Source organism: Homo sapiens, chromosome 11 (assembly GCF_000001405.40).
Source record: "Homo sapiens chromosome 11, GRCh38.p14 Primary Assembly".
In the NCBI taxonomy this organism is placed as follows: domain Eukaryota; kingdom Metazoa; phylum Chordata; class Mammalia; order Primates; family Hominidae; genus Homo; species Homo sapiens.
This window is the reverse complement of record NC_000011.10, coordinates 103,854,565-103,869,827: the sequence shown is the minus strand read 5'-3', so window position 1 is coordinate 103,869,827 and position 15,263 is coordinate 103,854,565. Positions and strand designations below refer to the sequence as shown.

The 15,263-nt window shown below is 39.3% G+C and overlaps 1 long non-coding RNA gene across 2 annotated transcripts in view; it reads left to right on the top strand.

Annotated features, from left to right (window-relative positions):
• The window catches only part of PDGFDDN (PDGFD downstream neighbor), a 45,563-nt gene extending 37,043 nt beyond the window's left edge, over positions 1–8,520 (top strand). Inside the window, exons 2-3 of one of the 2 annotated variants that reach the window (XR_001748348.2) lie at positions 4,533–5,026; positions 7,158–8,520. This is a non-coding gene — a long non-coding RNA (PDGFD downstream neighbor). Of the gene's footprint in view, positions 1–4,532; positions 5,027–7,157 lie in introns of those variants that run through there. The other variant, XR_947960.3, reaches the window with a different exon arrangement.
• The last annotated feature ends 6,743 nt before the right edge of the window (positions 8,521–15,263 follow it).

Sequence of the window (15,263 nt, the reverse complement as noted above, 5' to 3'; positions counted from 1 at the left end):
TGAGCTCCTTGACTATGGGGAATAGGATACTAGGAATCCATGGTATAAAGTGATATAGTAACTAATCAAGCTGTAACTTGTGGTTTACTGTGACGAAGAGCCAACTGAAACAAGCACCATAGGATCCAAAGTGGTTGCTGCACTTTACTTTTATGGCTAATGATGACTACAAGGACTATGATTTGAGATTGATTTTTTAAATGCACTTGAGTACTTACAAAAAAGAAAATGACATGCTCAGATTCTTCAACTTTTAGCTTAAGTGACTATCTGAGAACTAGAGAACTTCCGTGACAGCTTTGAAAGGATTTCCTTTTTCTTGTAGCCACAGTGCTAATATTGCTGAAAATAAAAAGCAACCATTTAGTTGCATGGACTGCTGAATTCCAAAAGTTAAATCCACAGTCTTGTCAAGTTTCCCAATGTGAAGTTGAAGACATTGATTAGAAAATGATGAAATCCTTAAACTTAGAATGTCGGCATCTGGTTGGATCCAGAGAAAGCTGAAAATTGGGAATTCCCATGTGATTTTGAGTCTTCCTTATCTAGAGAATTAGGTTCCTCTTTGTTGCCTACCTTGCTTGGAAATCCTGTGATAACCTCACCTGGGGCAAGAGCCTTGAAAATGGATGCTCATTTCTCTCAAGACTTACCATAACCACACTTTGTCGCCACTAGACCCATAACTAGGGTGAAATTTCACCATGCTCCAAGGGGCCGGGACACACTATAACTCATGACATTGTAGCTTACAAACCAAAAGAATTGCAAGACTTTGCTACTGCATATGTAAAGAAACTCAGGGAACATGCTCAGGAGTGAATTCTAAAGGTGTTAGACCAAGTGGCAGCACTTAGCCTGAAAGGGAAGGTGGTAATATTTATCATAATAGATATCAGAGAGGTACCAATAATCAAAATGCTTGGACACACAAGAATATCTGTCAGTAGGTTAACTGATCATGGTTTCCAGGGAATTAAATAGATACATAGCCTACTAAAGTGTTTCTTGACTGATCAAATAAACTCTAAATCTAGAGCAAAAAACTTGAGTCCCCACATTGAAGAGTCATGGCCTCTCCCTGAGTTTCCAGACCTTAGTCAATTCACAGACTCAGCAGCCCTTAATTGAAGGGGTGTAAACAGAATCCTGTGGCCACTAATTAGAGTGAGAATGTGCTGGAGAGAAGGAAATACTCAAACCTTTGGGGGAAATTATTGGATAGTCATCTGAATTAATGACAATTCCTGGGGACCCAAAATGCCAGTATGGCCTGATAGTCAAAGTGGGGCTTACAGTGATCAAATAATAAATAGTATCACAACTGGCTCAGTTTGTACCCACATTGGCTCTCTGACCATAGGGTGAGGGTGATTATGTCAGGACTAAATGAAAGCCCCTGGAACATTTCTTCACTATCAAGATAGTAAACTACAAGCAATATCTCATCCCTAGAAAAATTGCCAAGATTAATGCTACTATCAAAGATTTAAATATAGCAGAGGTGGTGATACCTATCACATCCCCATTTATCTCACCAATTAAGCCTCTAATAAAGTCAGGTCGATCTTGGAGAATGACCAGAGACTATTGTTAACTTAATCAGATGGTGGCTGTAATTGCTGCTGCTATTCTAGATATATTATCTTTTCTAGAACAAATCAACATTAATTCTGGCACTTGGTATGCAGCTATTGATCTGAATAATGCTTTTTTATGCAACCAATTTGTAAGGAACACTCGATGACCTTTGCTTTTACCTGGGAGGACAATCAGTATTCTCTTACAATCCTGCATCGGGGTTCCATCAGTTCTTCTCTAAGGGTTATTGTAGCCTGCAGAGACCATGGCTATCTTATTCCATAAAATATCATACTTGTCCACTATATCAATGACATTATGCTCATTAGATCTGATTAGCAAGTACTCTAGATACTTTAGTATGACATATGCAAAATAAAGGGTAGGAGATAAACTCCACAACATACAAGTGTTTGAAACCTCGGTGAAGTTTCTGATGGTTCATTGGTTTGCAGCATGTCAAGATATTACTTCCAAGATGAAAGAAGAGCTGATTCACTCCACGTCACCTACGATGAAAAAGAAGCACTTTGTTTAGTAAGCCTTCTGGTATTTGGAAGGCAAGTTATACCACATTTCAGTGTGCTACTTCAACTCATACTCAGAGTCACCTGTAAGGTTGCCACTTTCAAGTAGGGACCATAGCAAGAGAAGCAAGTTTAGGCTGCAGTACAAGGCAAGCTACTACTTGGTCCTTATGATCCAACAAGTCCAATGATACTTGAAGTGACCGTGACAAATGGGGATGCTGTTTGGAGCTTCTAGTAGGAGAAAAACAACAGATATTTCTAAGACTTGAGAGCACATCTCTGCTCTCTCCTTCAAATAACTTTTCTCCTTTCAAAAAACAAACAAACAAACAAACAAAAACAGCTTCTGACTTGTTGTTGGGCCTTGGTAGAAACTGAATGCCTAAACATGAGATATTAATTGACCATGGAATCCAAGCTTATCCTTATAAACTGGGTATTGTTTGCCATATGTATTCATAAGAGTAGATGTCATCAGCAACAATCTATCATGAAACTAAAATGGCGTACAAAAGACTGAGCTCAGGCAGGTCTTAAAAGTAAGAGTAAGCAAACTGGTCACACTAATTTAACACCAACTCTTGTTGCATTGCCTTCTGTATTTCGATCAATGCCTATGGCCTCTGGAAATATTTTTTATTATCCAATTTACTGAGGAAGAAGAATGTCAAGCCAGATGGGTCTGTAAGATATGATGGTACTAACAAAAAGAGGACAGCTGCATCACTATAGCCTCACCTAGGCATGGCTCAGAAGGGTGGTGCTGAAGGAGAATCTCCTTGTCACAATGGGCAGTACTTTGAGTAGTACATTTGGTTGCCTGCTATGCTTGGAGTGAAAGACGGGCCAAATTGTAAATGCACACTAACTCTTGGGCAGTTGCTAAGTTTGGCTAGATGGTCAGGGATTTAAAAAGAAACAGGATTGGAAAGTTGGTGACAAGAGGTCTAGGAAAGAACTATGTCAATGGACCTCTCATAATGGCACAGACAGGAGATATTTGTGTTTTGTGTGAAACCAAACAAAGGGCATCCACTGTAGAAGCTCTTAAGAATGATGTGGATAAAATGGCATGCTCTAATGATATTCATTAACCTCTTTCTAGTCATACTAGCTCTTGTTCAATGGGACAATAAAATAGCCATAGTGGCAAGGCCAGAGGGACTAAACAACATAGATTTCTCCTTACTAAGACTAACCTGCTTAATGCTACTGACTAATTTGCCAATAGCAAAGACCAAAATTGAGCTCCTAATACGGCACCATTCCCCAGGGTAACCATCCAGCAAACTGATGGCAGGTTGATTACATTTGATCTTTTATATCATAAACGGCACAAAATTACATATGGTCTGTAATTGATTTCTCTACACGTAATGCTTCTGTTAGTATCATCACCCATAGGCTTAGAGAAAGCTTTATCTACTGTCAAGGAATTCTGCGTAGCACTGAGTCTGATGAAGGAACTCATTTCGCAGCAAAGTAAGTGCAGCAATGGACTTACATCTATGGCATAACTGATTTTCCTACATATCACATCACCTGGAAGCAACTGGGCTCACTGAAATGTTGAATTGCTTATGTACAACTCAATTACTAAACAGGTTGAGAAACAACACCCTAAAATTATAATATTTTGTGTATAGGATGCAGTATGTTCTTCAAATCACAGACCAGTGTATGATACTGTTTCCCCCATAGCCACAATGCATGGCTCCAGGATTCAAGGTGTAAGGGTGCCTCTTCTCACTATGATTGCTTAATAACTCACTCACAGAATTTTTGCTCTATGAGTTTAGAGGTCTTTGTATCCAAGGAGGTAAGATTTCCACTGGGAGACACAATGGTATTTCTACTGAATTGGAAGATGAGACTTTCACACGGCCATTTTGGGCTCCTTATGCCACTTGAACAAACAAGGAAAAAAGAAATTACTCTACTTGTTGGAGTTACTGATCCAGAATACCAAGAGGAAATTGAGTTACTGCTGCACAGCAAGGACAAAGGAGATTTTGTTTGGAACACAGTGGACTCTTCGGAGTGCCTCTTTATACTTCCATATTCAATTTAAAAAAAAGTTAATGAAAACTACAGCAACAAAAAAAAAGGGCAGGTTAATTGACAACTTAGATCCCTTGGAAATTAACATTTCGGTCACTCCACCAGGTAAATAACTCCAACTAGCTGAGATTCTGGCTGAGATGGGGAAATATAAAAGTGGTATTGAAAGAAGGACTAATTAAATATCAACCAAATCCTGTAACCAATTAAAGTAATAAGAACTGTAGTAATTTTGTGTTTTATCTTTACTTGTTATATGCATTCATTTGTATGCTAATCATTTTATTCTCTCTTCTTTACCCATTTGTTTTCATTTTACTTGCAAGCTGTTGTGGGTTAACTTTAAATTTTACTCTTTAGGTAACAGAACATTCAATGGGACTACAGTGAAATTTGGGAGTCATTGACATAGCCAGCAATGGATACAATGACTGTTGGAACTATATACATCTCCTTACTGTTGGGAAAAGTGAGAATTCCTCACCAGCAAGAAGGATAGTTGTATCTTATAAGGGTGGAAATACAGAGTTATTTACTTGTTGTATGAAAGTTGAAATGTGTGTAAAAGGGTGTATGGAATCTGAGTTGTCAAAAGAATAAACAATGACATTAATTTATTGCTTATCTCATAATCGATTATGCATTATCTCCTGTGTAATAATGGAGCCAGTCCTCCAGATATTTCTCCTTCACAGTGAGCATTATGATATAAGCTTTATCAGTAGAGGGTGTGGAGGGATATTGCTTCTGGGGTGCTGCTGTGTTGTAGTCTTCCTGCTCCTACCACAGCGCTTCCAGAAGTAGACATGGAAAAAATCCAGTGGTGCTCCACTGCAGCTGCTTGTCCAGAGCTTGTAGGTCCTTGCAAGCCCACATTCCTTACCCTAGCCTAGTGGCCACCTCACTGTGGCCCTCTCCACAGTCACCACATGCTCTATGTTTTACAGCACCCTGCTAGGAAGTGATCTCTCAGTACCCTAATTCAGTATTCTAATGCACACTGCTTAGAGTATCTTCTGGGACCTTCTGAGAAATTGATCTGACTGGAGAGTTTTCCAGCTTTACTAATAAATCCACTCTAGAATGTTCTTTTTTCTGAGCCTTTTGTTCACTTATTCTATAGTCATATGGCCATATCGATTCTGGCATTTTCACTTCACTTAGTGTGTGCCATCACTCTTTCTAAGCTTTCAAGAGCCACTCTAACCACTGTTAGCACCACCTCTAAGGGCCTTTCTAGGGTGTTAAGTCCTTTAATACTATAGGAGAGTACACTCATATCAATAAACTCTCTCTTATCCAACCCTATATTCCATCTCGCTTGACCTACAACCCTCAAGATCTAGTTCTCTACAATATTTCCAGTTCCTGCCAGGAAGTACTGGTCAAATTCTACAGCCCCTTCAACGTATAGTCTTATCTTCCCCTAGCAGGCCCAACACATGGCCCAATGGACTTTGCTGGGATTTGACCCTTCCTTTTTATTGGTCTGGTTTCCAGGAAAGCATAACTGAAGCTTATCTTGTATAGCATCTACCTAATTGGAGGCCTCTGCATTATCTTTAAATAAAGAAGGGGCCACTATCTTCTAACAAGTGTGAGTGGGTCATTTCTATATGTCCAGTGCACTCAGGAGAATCTGAGAGTTCAAGGTTCTCAAATGCATCTACCTATACCTATCCCTATCCCATTTTGCAGTGTCTCACTCTTTCCCTAGTAGAACTTGGGCCTAGAAAGCCGGCTGTGTTAGAGAATTTAATCTTCTCTTAAGTTCCACTACTAAGTGGATCTAAAGCCTGAGCCTGATCTTGAGTCTGATCTTCCAGCCACAGGAGATACCTTAAGTACCGCCAAAGAGTTATCTCATGCCTGCACATTTCGTCATGAATTGATGACTTACCACCCAGAGCCTGTTATTATATCTCTTCAATGAGTCATTGGTACTCAGCATCAACCACCCAATCCCATGGTTCTTATGGGTGTCATTTCCTTCACATGTCTCTAGCACTATAAAAATTGCATCAGCCAGTTCATTTTCTTCCACCAAAATTTTGTTCAAGTTCGCCACCAGTGAGAGTTTTAACTACACTGCCACAGCATCCCTGGGGCCATTTGTTCTCCATCCCATCCCCACTAGTGATGAGATCCTCATTGCCAGCCAGCCAATGAATGATCTGTCTCCAGAAGCCCATTTAGAGGCTGCTTACTAGAACCACTTCTGATAGTTACATTGGTTCTCTGGCGAGAGATACCAAATGAATAGTGTTGGGGTGAAGGAGTGGGCTCTCAGAGATATAATTTAAAGGAAGAGAGGAGGGCAGGATTGGGTAAAAGAGAAACTGATTTATAACTGAGGCCTCAGCTAATCCTATGGAGAATTTTGGAGCTGAAATGTCCTTCGCTGTGTCTCAAATTGAGTCCCAAGGAGGCTGGGCCTTTTTCTCCCTACCTCAGCATACTGGCTGTGAGCCACCTTTGCCAGGGGGTGTAACTTTGGGCAAGGCCAATCCCAGAGACTGAGGGTGAATCCAATGAGGAATGCAGCTGTGAGCCATCAATAGCTGATAGTCCCAGAAGTCAGGGACTGGGTGAATGAGATCTAAAGAGGAGATCTTGGGGGAGCACCACAGTATTTACTACGCCACCAGCTGGTGAGCCAGATCCTACTAACATGCGCCTAGCCTGGATCAGAATTCATTCCAGAACAGGCCAGTAGGTTTAACGTCTTCAGTGCCTGCAAAGGAGATTAGCTGGGTATAGAAGGGACTGACCACTTGCCTCTATTCCAAAATAAAAACTTATTGAAAAGGAGTCATTTTAGTTCATTTAATTAAATTACCATTTTTATGGGCATGGCTTTTATATTCTTCCCTTTGTTCCTGCAGTTTGGAATGAAAGAGGAATGAAAAGAAGGAGGGAAGTTCGTTGGTTTATTGAGCACTCGGGTGTCAGGCCTTAACCCTTGGCAACTCTGCCCTTTTGCAGATGAAACTGAAGGTGGAGACAAGCACCAGGCTTGCAGTGTGAATTACTTCCCTCTTGTCACAATTTGGTGATTAATCAGCCGTGACTGCAGAATAAAATGGAAAGTAACTACGGGTAAACATGACACTCACATTAAATCAAGTTAGTTCATCCTGATTAACATGGCTTCCCTCGGAAATAAATAAATTAGTAGTCATCTCTGGTTTAAATTGCGTTCAAAAGAAAGGAGGGCTGAGGGATGCTACAGCCACTCTGGAAATTATTGCTTACATCCCTGAAACAGAAAAAATATCTTTTGACCCTGCAATTCTACCCTGACCATCCACAGCAGAGGGCAAGCTGAAGTTTGTTTACAGCTGAGGCGTGAGTCCTCCCAACCCACATTCAGAATGACTGTCCTGCTGGTCTGCAGAATCCAAGGTGATACGAAGCTGACTGCTCTGAATGTCTGTTCTCTCTTCCTGATGTGAATGGCTCCCTACAGGGCGGGGGTGCAGTGAGTGAAGCACTCATCTCTGGTGCTAAATTTAAGTGGTCACCAAAACACTCAGGAATCCTGACAAATATTTTTGAAAGTCAAAAGTAAGGCAAAAAAAAAGATATGATGAACAAGATATCTAAACTTTAAATAAAGACAAAATCAATTTATTGATTTTAACTTTTGCCTTAAGTTCCAACCTAGTTCATTACTGCACTGCTGAAGGGGAAGAGTATAATTTCAAGGTATTGGCTTAAATGGACTTTCTATCTTAAGTTATGGCCTCTAGGGCAATGGTTCTACAACTTTAGTGTACACCAGAGTCACCTGGAAAGCTTGTGAAAAGACAAGAGCTCAACCCCAAATCTAGAATTTTGATTTATTGAAAATGAGATGGGGCCTAAGAATTTGCATTGCTAACAAGTTCTAGGCAATAAGGCTGTTGCTGATGCAGTGCTATGGTCTGAATGTTGGTGCCCCTCCACATTCATATGTTGAAACCTAACCCCCAACAATAGTTTTAAGACATGGGGCCTTTAGGAGGTGCTTAAGTCAGTAGGGCAGAGACCTCGTGAATGGGATTGGTGCTCTTATAAAAGAAGTTGAAGGAAGCTGCCTTGCCCCTTCTGATGTGTGAAGACTCAGAACGAAGTACCATCTGTGAAGCAGAGAGTGAGCCTCCACCAGACACTGAATCTGTTGGTATCCTGATCTTGAACTTTCCAGCTTCCAGAACTGTGAGAAATTAAGTTTCTATTTTTTATAAATGACCCAGTCTAAGGTATTTTGTTATAGCAGCCCAAACAGACTAAGACATGCAGGAGCCACAACTTAAGAACCACTGTAGAGACAGCTGTATAAATAGTTAGCCAGTAAATCCCAAAGTAGGAGCTCAATTAAAAAAAAAAATATGGCCGGGCGCGGTAGCTCACGCCTGTAATCCCAGCACTTTGGGAGGCCAAGGCGGGCGGATCATGAGGTCAGGAGATTGAGACCACCCTGGATAACACGGTGAAACCCCGTCTCTACTAAAAATACAAAAAAAATTAGCTGGGCATGGTGGTGTACACCTGTAGTCCCAGCTACTCAGGAAGCTGAGGCAGGAGAATGGCGTGAACCCGAGAGGCAGAACTTGCAGTGAGCAGAGATCGCCCACTGCACTCCTGCCTGGGTGACAGAGCGAGACTCTGTCTCAAAACAAAACAAAACAAAAAACAAAAGAAAAACAGTTTCTGATAAGCTGAGTGAGTAAATGAAATGCATAATGCCAAGATCAGCTAGGAAGTGTATTTATTCTGAGTGGGACATCGAAAGTGAATTTCTGATCCCTCGTCTTCTTAAGAAGAACTTTCTTATTCACACTGAATGGGCTCATCTCTCTACTGCCCAATGCAGTACAAGGTGACATATTTTAGACAGCCTTGGAAGAACAGGGGTAGGCAGAGAGAACTCTGATCCCTACCCTGGTGCTCTAGGGTAAGGCAGAACCATGACAGAGGTTTGAATTGCAGTTTGATGCCAGAGGCCTTTATTCTTTAGAGCTCCCTTCCACTCATCCCTGCCTTTCGTGACATCTTTTACCCACGTGCTCTTCAGTCCTTTCCTACACTGACACCACTCAGAACTGGCTACCACCCAGACCTGGCTACACTCAGGGAAGTGGCCTCTTAGGCTACACTCAGAGAAAAGATTGGGGTAGAGATGGCAGAGCAGATATAGAGGAGACAACAATTCACTTCATGTCAGGAAAAAGGACATTTCAAAACCTAACCATGGGTTAAGTACTCAATTTCCAGGCTCTATGAAGGTGTCATTGCTACTAATTGAAAACTCACTCTTTACACTTTATTGACAGTCTTTTTTGAATCACATCAGGCAGGGGACTCGGAAAGGGGTTATTTACAGTGACATACAGTTTAAGTAACGTTCTTTTGATTTAGGCTGACAGTCCATGATTTTAAGACATGGTTTGTTGCAATTTAAAAATCTAAATAATTGTTTCAGTTGCGTAGAAAGGTCAAATCATAAATCTGGAAACATGAGAAAATATTAGCATTCATTGCTATTCTAAAATTTTTATTCTTCCTACTTATATGGATACTTGCAAATCAACTAGGCTGTGGGTTTATGTAGTTACCATTCCCATTACAATAACGCAGGGGATGACTATAATGTAGTCATCCTGAAAATAAAGCAAAAAAAAGCACGCTATCAGAAAGAAATAGATTCAAAGGAAGCCAGCAATAGTAGAGAAAAATACTCAGCTATTTCCCCCTTATCTCTTCTTCAAACCTCTCATTTCTAGGAAGGAGAAAAATCATGACTCCTATGATTCTATGTTGTTCTTTCGGCCTGAAGAGTCCCAGAAGGAAAGAAAAGAATAGGGAGTTGTAAGATTTTATATATATATATACACACACACACACACACACACACACACACACACGATTTTAAGATATGACATTATATATGATTTTAAACTATATACACACATATACATATATATTTTGTATATACATATGTATATATGTACATATGTGTATATATAAATGGATATATGTTTAGCTAATTGTTTATTACTGGACTTGTTCCACAATAGGCTGGAAGTATTAGTGAGGATGCTAATTTGACATAAATGCAGAGGTTCAGCCAGAGATTGTAACCAGTAAGCTGAAAGTGATTGGAAATTCAGAGGGACCTCTTTTCTCCATATTGGATCTCTGTTCTTTGTTGGACATCTGCTTAATACTTCTATATTTGCTGATCAGCTTACATAAAAGAAGGTTGATGTACCAGCACTTCCAAGGTTATTAATTGTGTCACAAGAAATAGTCTAGACTGAGACTGTGGTAGCTTCATTCCAATTCTCTGTTATGGAGGAGTGCACTCTGATTGGCTCAGTTTGCTGCAGGTGTTCAATCAACAGCAGTTGGATGGGGAGTCATGTTGTATTCACCTAGCTGCCTGGGAGTTCTGCTTAGGTGGGATGATTTCTAGATAAAGTGAGCAATTCTCAGCCCTTGGGCTGAAAGAACACCCCCAAATTATCCCTTACACTGAATAAACACTTGGCAAGAATGTGGAAATCAAGCATCAGATATGATTTTCAACCAAACAGCCTTCCAGGTCTCCTCTAATGCCATAATTCCACAATTGACAAGAAAAGATGAAGAGAATCCGAGAGGAGTGGCAGCACTGGATTGTGCCTACCTTAGTGACATTTGGAAGATTAATTAGACATTTTAGTAAGAGCTTTGAAGATGAAAAGGGCTGAAAACAGCATTAAGTCTTTACTACCAAGTCCTGGGAAAGTAGGTTAGGAGATGAATTAGCATCAAGGCTGTAATGTTGTAATGACATTCACTGAAAAATTGACTACACTGTGTTTTACAGGATATCTTTCACCTCAAAGAAGACTTATATGAGGCCCAAGAAACTGGAGTTTAGAAAGGAGAAGAAGCTAAGATTTTAGGTTTACCAAATAACCTTAAGATCCATTCATTATACTCATTTCAACATATAATCAATCTTTCACAGATTGGGGGTTTGAACCTGGATCAATTCCTGTAGATGATCTTTTCCTCCTTCCTCATTTTACAGATTACAGACTTAAAGCCTAGAGAGGTAATAGCATAACTGGTCCTATTATTTGGGTCTCCTAATTCCCATTTCAGTCACAGAAAGCAGAGAATATTTCTCTACGTGGTGTGATTTGTGATTTGGGAGATTCTGGGAAGCCTTTTCTCAGCAACTTGAAAATATTTTCTGTACTAGCCTATTACGCTAGGAACCACACCAATTCTAATTCTTAATATTCTATTAAGCACTGCTTCTACAGATGTTCCTCTTTTAAGAAGAAAGCATTGCAAAAGCAGGTAATAAATTAATTTGGTAGTCCATTATTATGTTTATTGGAATAACAAAGGAAATAGATTTAGGAATCCAATAAATAAGGGACTGAATTTCAGTTCTACCACTAACCAGCTGTGGGACTTTTTGCAGGTTTTTTCAATCTGGGAGTGCCAGGTTTACCATTTGAAAAAATGGGGAAAATAGCAGTATCAATTTCATAGGGTAGATAGGATTAAACAAAATAATGCATTAAAGCCAAACTTAGCCCCATAATAAGCACTGAGTAAATAACATGTAAATGGTAAGCACTGATTAAATAGTAGGTACTATCATCATCATCCTCTTTTTCTACCACAAATTTTATTGAAGCAATTTCTTCTCAGTGGAGGGATAAACTTGCAGTAACAGGAGAAGGAAAGTAAGTACAGGAAGGGAGATTTGGAATACCAAAAGAGAAACATTTCATACTTCCTAGTTTATAAGATAATCGGTCTGGCTTATGTTAACCAAATCAAAACTCTCATAAGCACCCATGGATTAAACAAAAACAAAAAGAAAAGCAAAAATTAAAAAAAAGAAAACTTGTAAATTTATTTAATTTCCTTATAGACTCTGGATATGAGACCTCTGTCAGAAGGATAGCTTGCAAAAAATTTCTCCCATTCTGTAGGTTGTCTGTTTACTCTGATGATAGTTTCTTTTGCTATGCAGAAGTTGTTTCATTTAATTAGATCCCATTTGTCAATTTTTGCTTTTGTTGTAATTGCTTTTGATGTTTTTGTCATGAAATTTTTGCCCATGCCTATGTCCTGAATGGTGTTGTCTAGATTTTCTTCTGGGGTTTTTATAGTTTTAGGTTTTACATTTAGATCTTTAATCCATCTTTAGTTAATTTTTGTATAAGATGTAAAAAAGGGGTCCAGTTCCGATTTTCTGCATATGGCTAGCTGGTTCTCCCAGCACAATATATTAAATAGGAATCCTTTCCCCATTGCTTGTTTTTGTCAGGTTTGTCAAAGATCAGATAGTTGTAGATGTGAGGTCTTATGTCTGAGGTCTCTATTCTGTTCCATTGGTTTATGTGTCTGTTTTTGTACTAGTACCATGCTGTTTTGGTTACTGTAGCTTTGTAGCATAGTTTGAAGTCAGGTAGCGTGATACCTCCAGATTTGTTCTTTTTGCTTAGGATTGTTTTGGCTATACAGACTCTTTTTTATTCCCTATGAACTTTAAAAAAAAAACCATACGAACTTTAAAATAGTTTTTTCTACTTCTGTGAAGAATGTCAATGGTAGTTTGATGGGAATAGCATTGAATCTGTAAATTACTTTGGGCAGTATGGCCATTTTCATGGTATTGATTCTTCCTATCCATGAGCATGGAATATTTTTCCATTTGTTTGTGTCCTCTCTTATTTCCTTGAGCAGTGGTTTGCAATTCTCCTTGATGAGGTCCTTCGCTTCCCTTGTTAGCTGTATTCCTAGGTATTTTATTCTCTTTATAGCAATTGCGAATGGGAGTTCATTTATGATTTAGCTCTTTGCTTGTCTGTTGTTAGTGTATAGAAATGCTTGAGATTTTTGCACTTTGATTTTATTTTCTGAGACTTTGCTGAAGTTGCTTATTAGCTTAAGAAGGTTTTGGGCTGAGATGATAGAGTTTTCTAGATATAGGATCATGTCATCTGCAAACAAAGGCAATTTGACTTCCTTACTTCCTATTTGAATACCCTTTATTTTTTTCTCGTGCCTGATTGCCCTGGCCAGAACTTCCAATACTATGTTGAGTAGGAGTGGTGAGAGAGGGCATCTTTGTCCTGTGCCGTTTTTCAAAGGGAATGCTTCCAGTTTTTGCCCATTCACTATAATATTGGCTTTGGGTTTGTCATAAATGGCAAAATAATAAATTTTGAGGTATGTTCCTTCAATACCTAGTTTATTGAGAGTTTTTAACATGAGAGGATGTTGAATTTTATTGAAGGCCTTTTCTGCATCTATTGAGATAAACATGTGGTTTTTGTCTTTAGTTCTGTTTATGTAATAAATTACATTTATTGATTTGCATATGTTGAACCAATCTTGCATCCTGAGGATGAAACCGACTTGATTGTGGTGGATAAGCTTTTTGATGTGCTGCTGGATGCGATTTCCCGGTGTTTTATTGAGGATTTTTGCATCGATGTTCATCAGGGATATTGGCCTGGGGTTTTCTTTTTTTGTTGTATCACTGTCAGGTTTTGGTATTAGGATGATGCTGGCCTCATAAAATGAGTTAGGGAATTGTCCCTCCTTTTCTACAGTTGGGAATAGTTTCAGAAGAACTGTTACCAGCTCCTCTTTGTACTTCTGGTGGAATTTACCTGTAAATCCCTCTGGTCCTGAACATTTTTGGGTGGTAGGCTATTCATTACTACCTTGACTTCAGAACTCATTATTGGTCTATTCAAGGATTCAGCTTCTTCCCGGTTCAGTCTTGGGAGGGCGTATGTGTTCAGGAATTTACCCATTTCTTTTAGATTTTCTAGTATATTTGTGTAGAGCTGTTTATAGTATTCTCAAATGGTTGTCTATATTTCTGTGGGGTCAGTGGTTATATCCCCTTTATCTTTTTTTATTGTGTCTCTGTGATTTCTCACTATTTTCTTCTTTATTAGTCTAGCTAGAAGTCTATTTTATTAATTTTTTTCAAAAAAAACAGCTCCTGGATTCATAGATTTTTTGAAGGAATTTTTAATCAATATCTCCTTTAGTTCAGCTCAGATCTTGGTTATTTCCTGTCTTCTGCTAGCTTTGGGGTTTGTTTGCTCTTGGTTCTCTAGTCATTTTAGTTGTGACGTTAAGATGTTAATTTGAGATCTTTCTAGCTTTTTGATGTGGGCATTTAATGCTCTAAATTTCCCTATTAATACTGCTTTAGCTGCATCCCAGAGATTCTGGTATGTTGCCCCATTAAAAAGTGGGGCAGGCTGGGTGCAGTGGCTCACGCCTGTAATCCCAACACTTTGGGAGGCCGAGGTGGGTGGATCATGAGGTCACGAGATCGAGACCATCCTGGCTAGCACAGTGAAACCCCATCTCTACTAAAAATACAAAAAATTAGCCGGGTGTGGTGGCAGACGCCTGTAGTCCCAGCTATTCAGGAGGCTGAGGCAGGAGAATGGCATGAACCCGGGAGGCGGAGCTTGCAGTGAGCTGAGATTGTGCCACTGCACTCCAGCCTGGGCAACAGAGTGAGACTCTGTCTCAAAAAAAAAAAAAAAAAAAAAAAAATTGGGGCAAAAGACCTGCACAGACACTTCTCAAAAGAAGACATTTATATGGCCAACACACATATGAAAGAAAGCTCAACATCACTTATCATTAGATAAATGCAAATTAAAGCCACAGTGAGATACCATCTCATGCCAGTCATAATGGCAATTATTAAAAAGTCAAGAAAAAACAGATGCTGACAAAGCTGCAGAGAGATAGGTATGCTTTTACACCATTGGTGGGAATGTAAATTAGTTCAACCACTGTGTAAGACAGTGTGGTGACACCTCAAAGACCTAGAACCAGAAATATCATTTGACCCAAGAATACCATTACTGGGTATATACCCAAAGAAATATAAGTCATTCTATTATAAAGATACATGCATGTATATGTTCATTGCAGCACTATTCACAATAGAAAAGACATGGAATCAACCCAAATTCCCATCAATGATAGACTTGATAAAGAAAATGTGTTACATATACACCATGTGATACTATGCAGCCATAAAAAGGAAAAAGA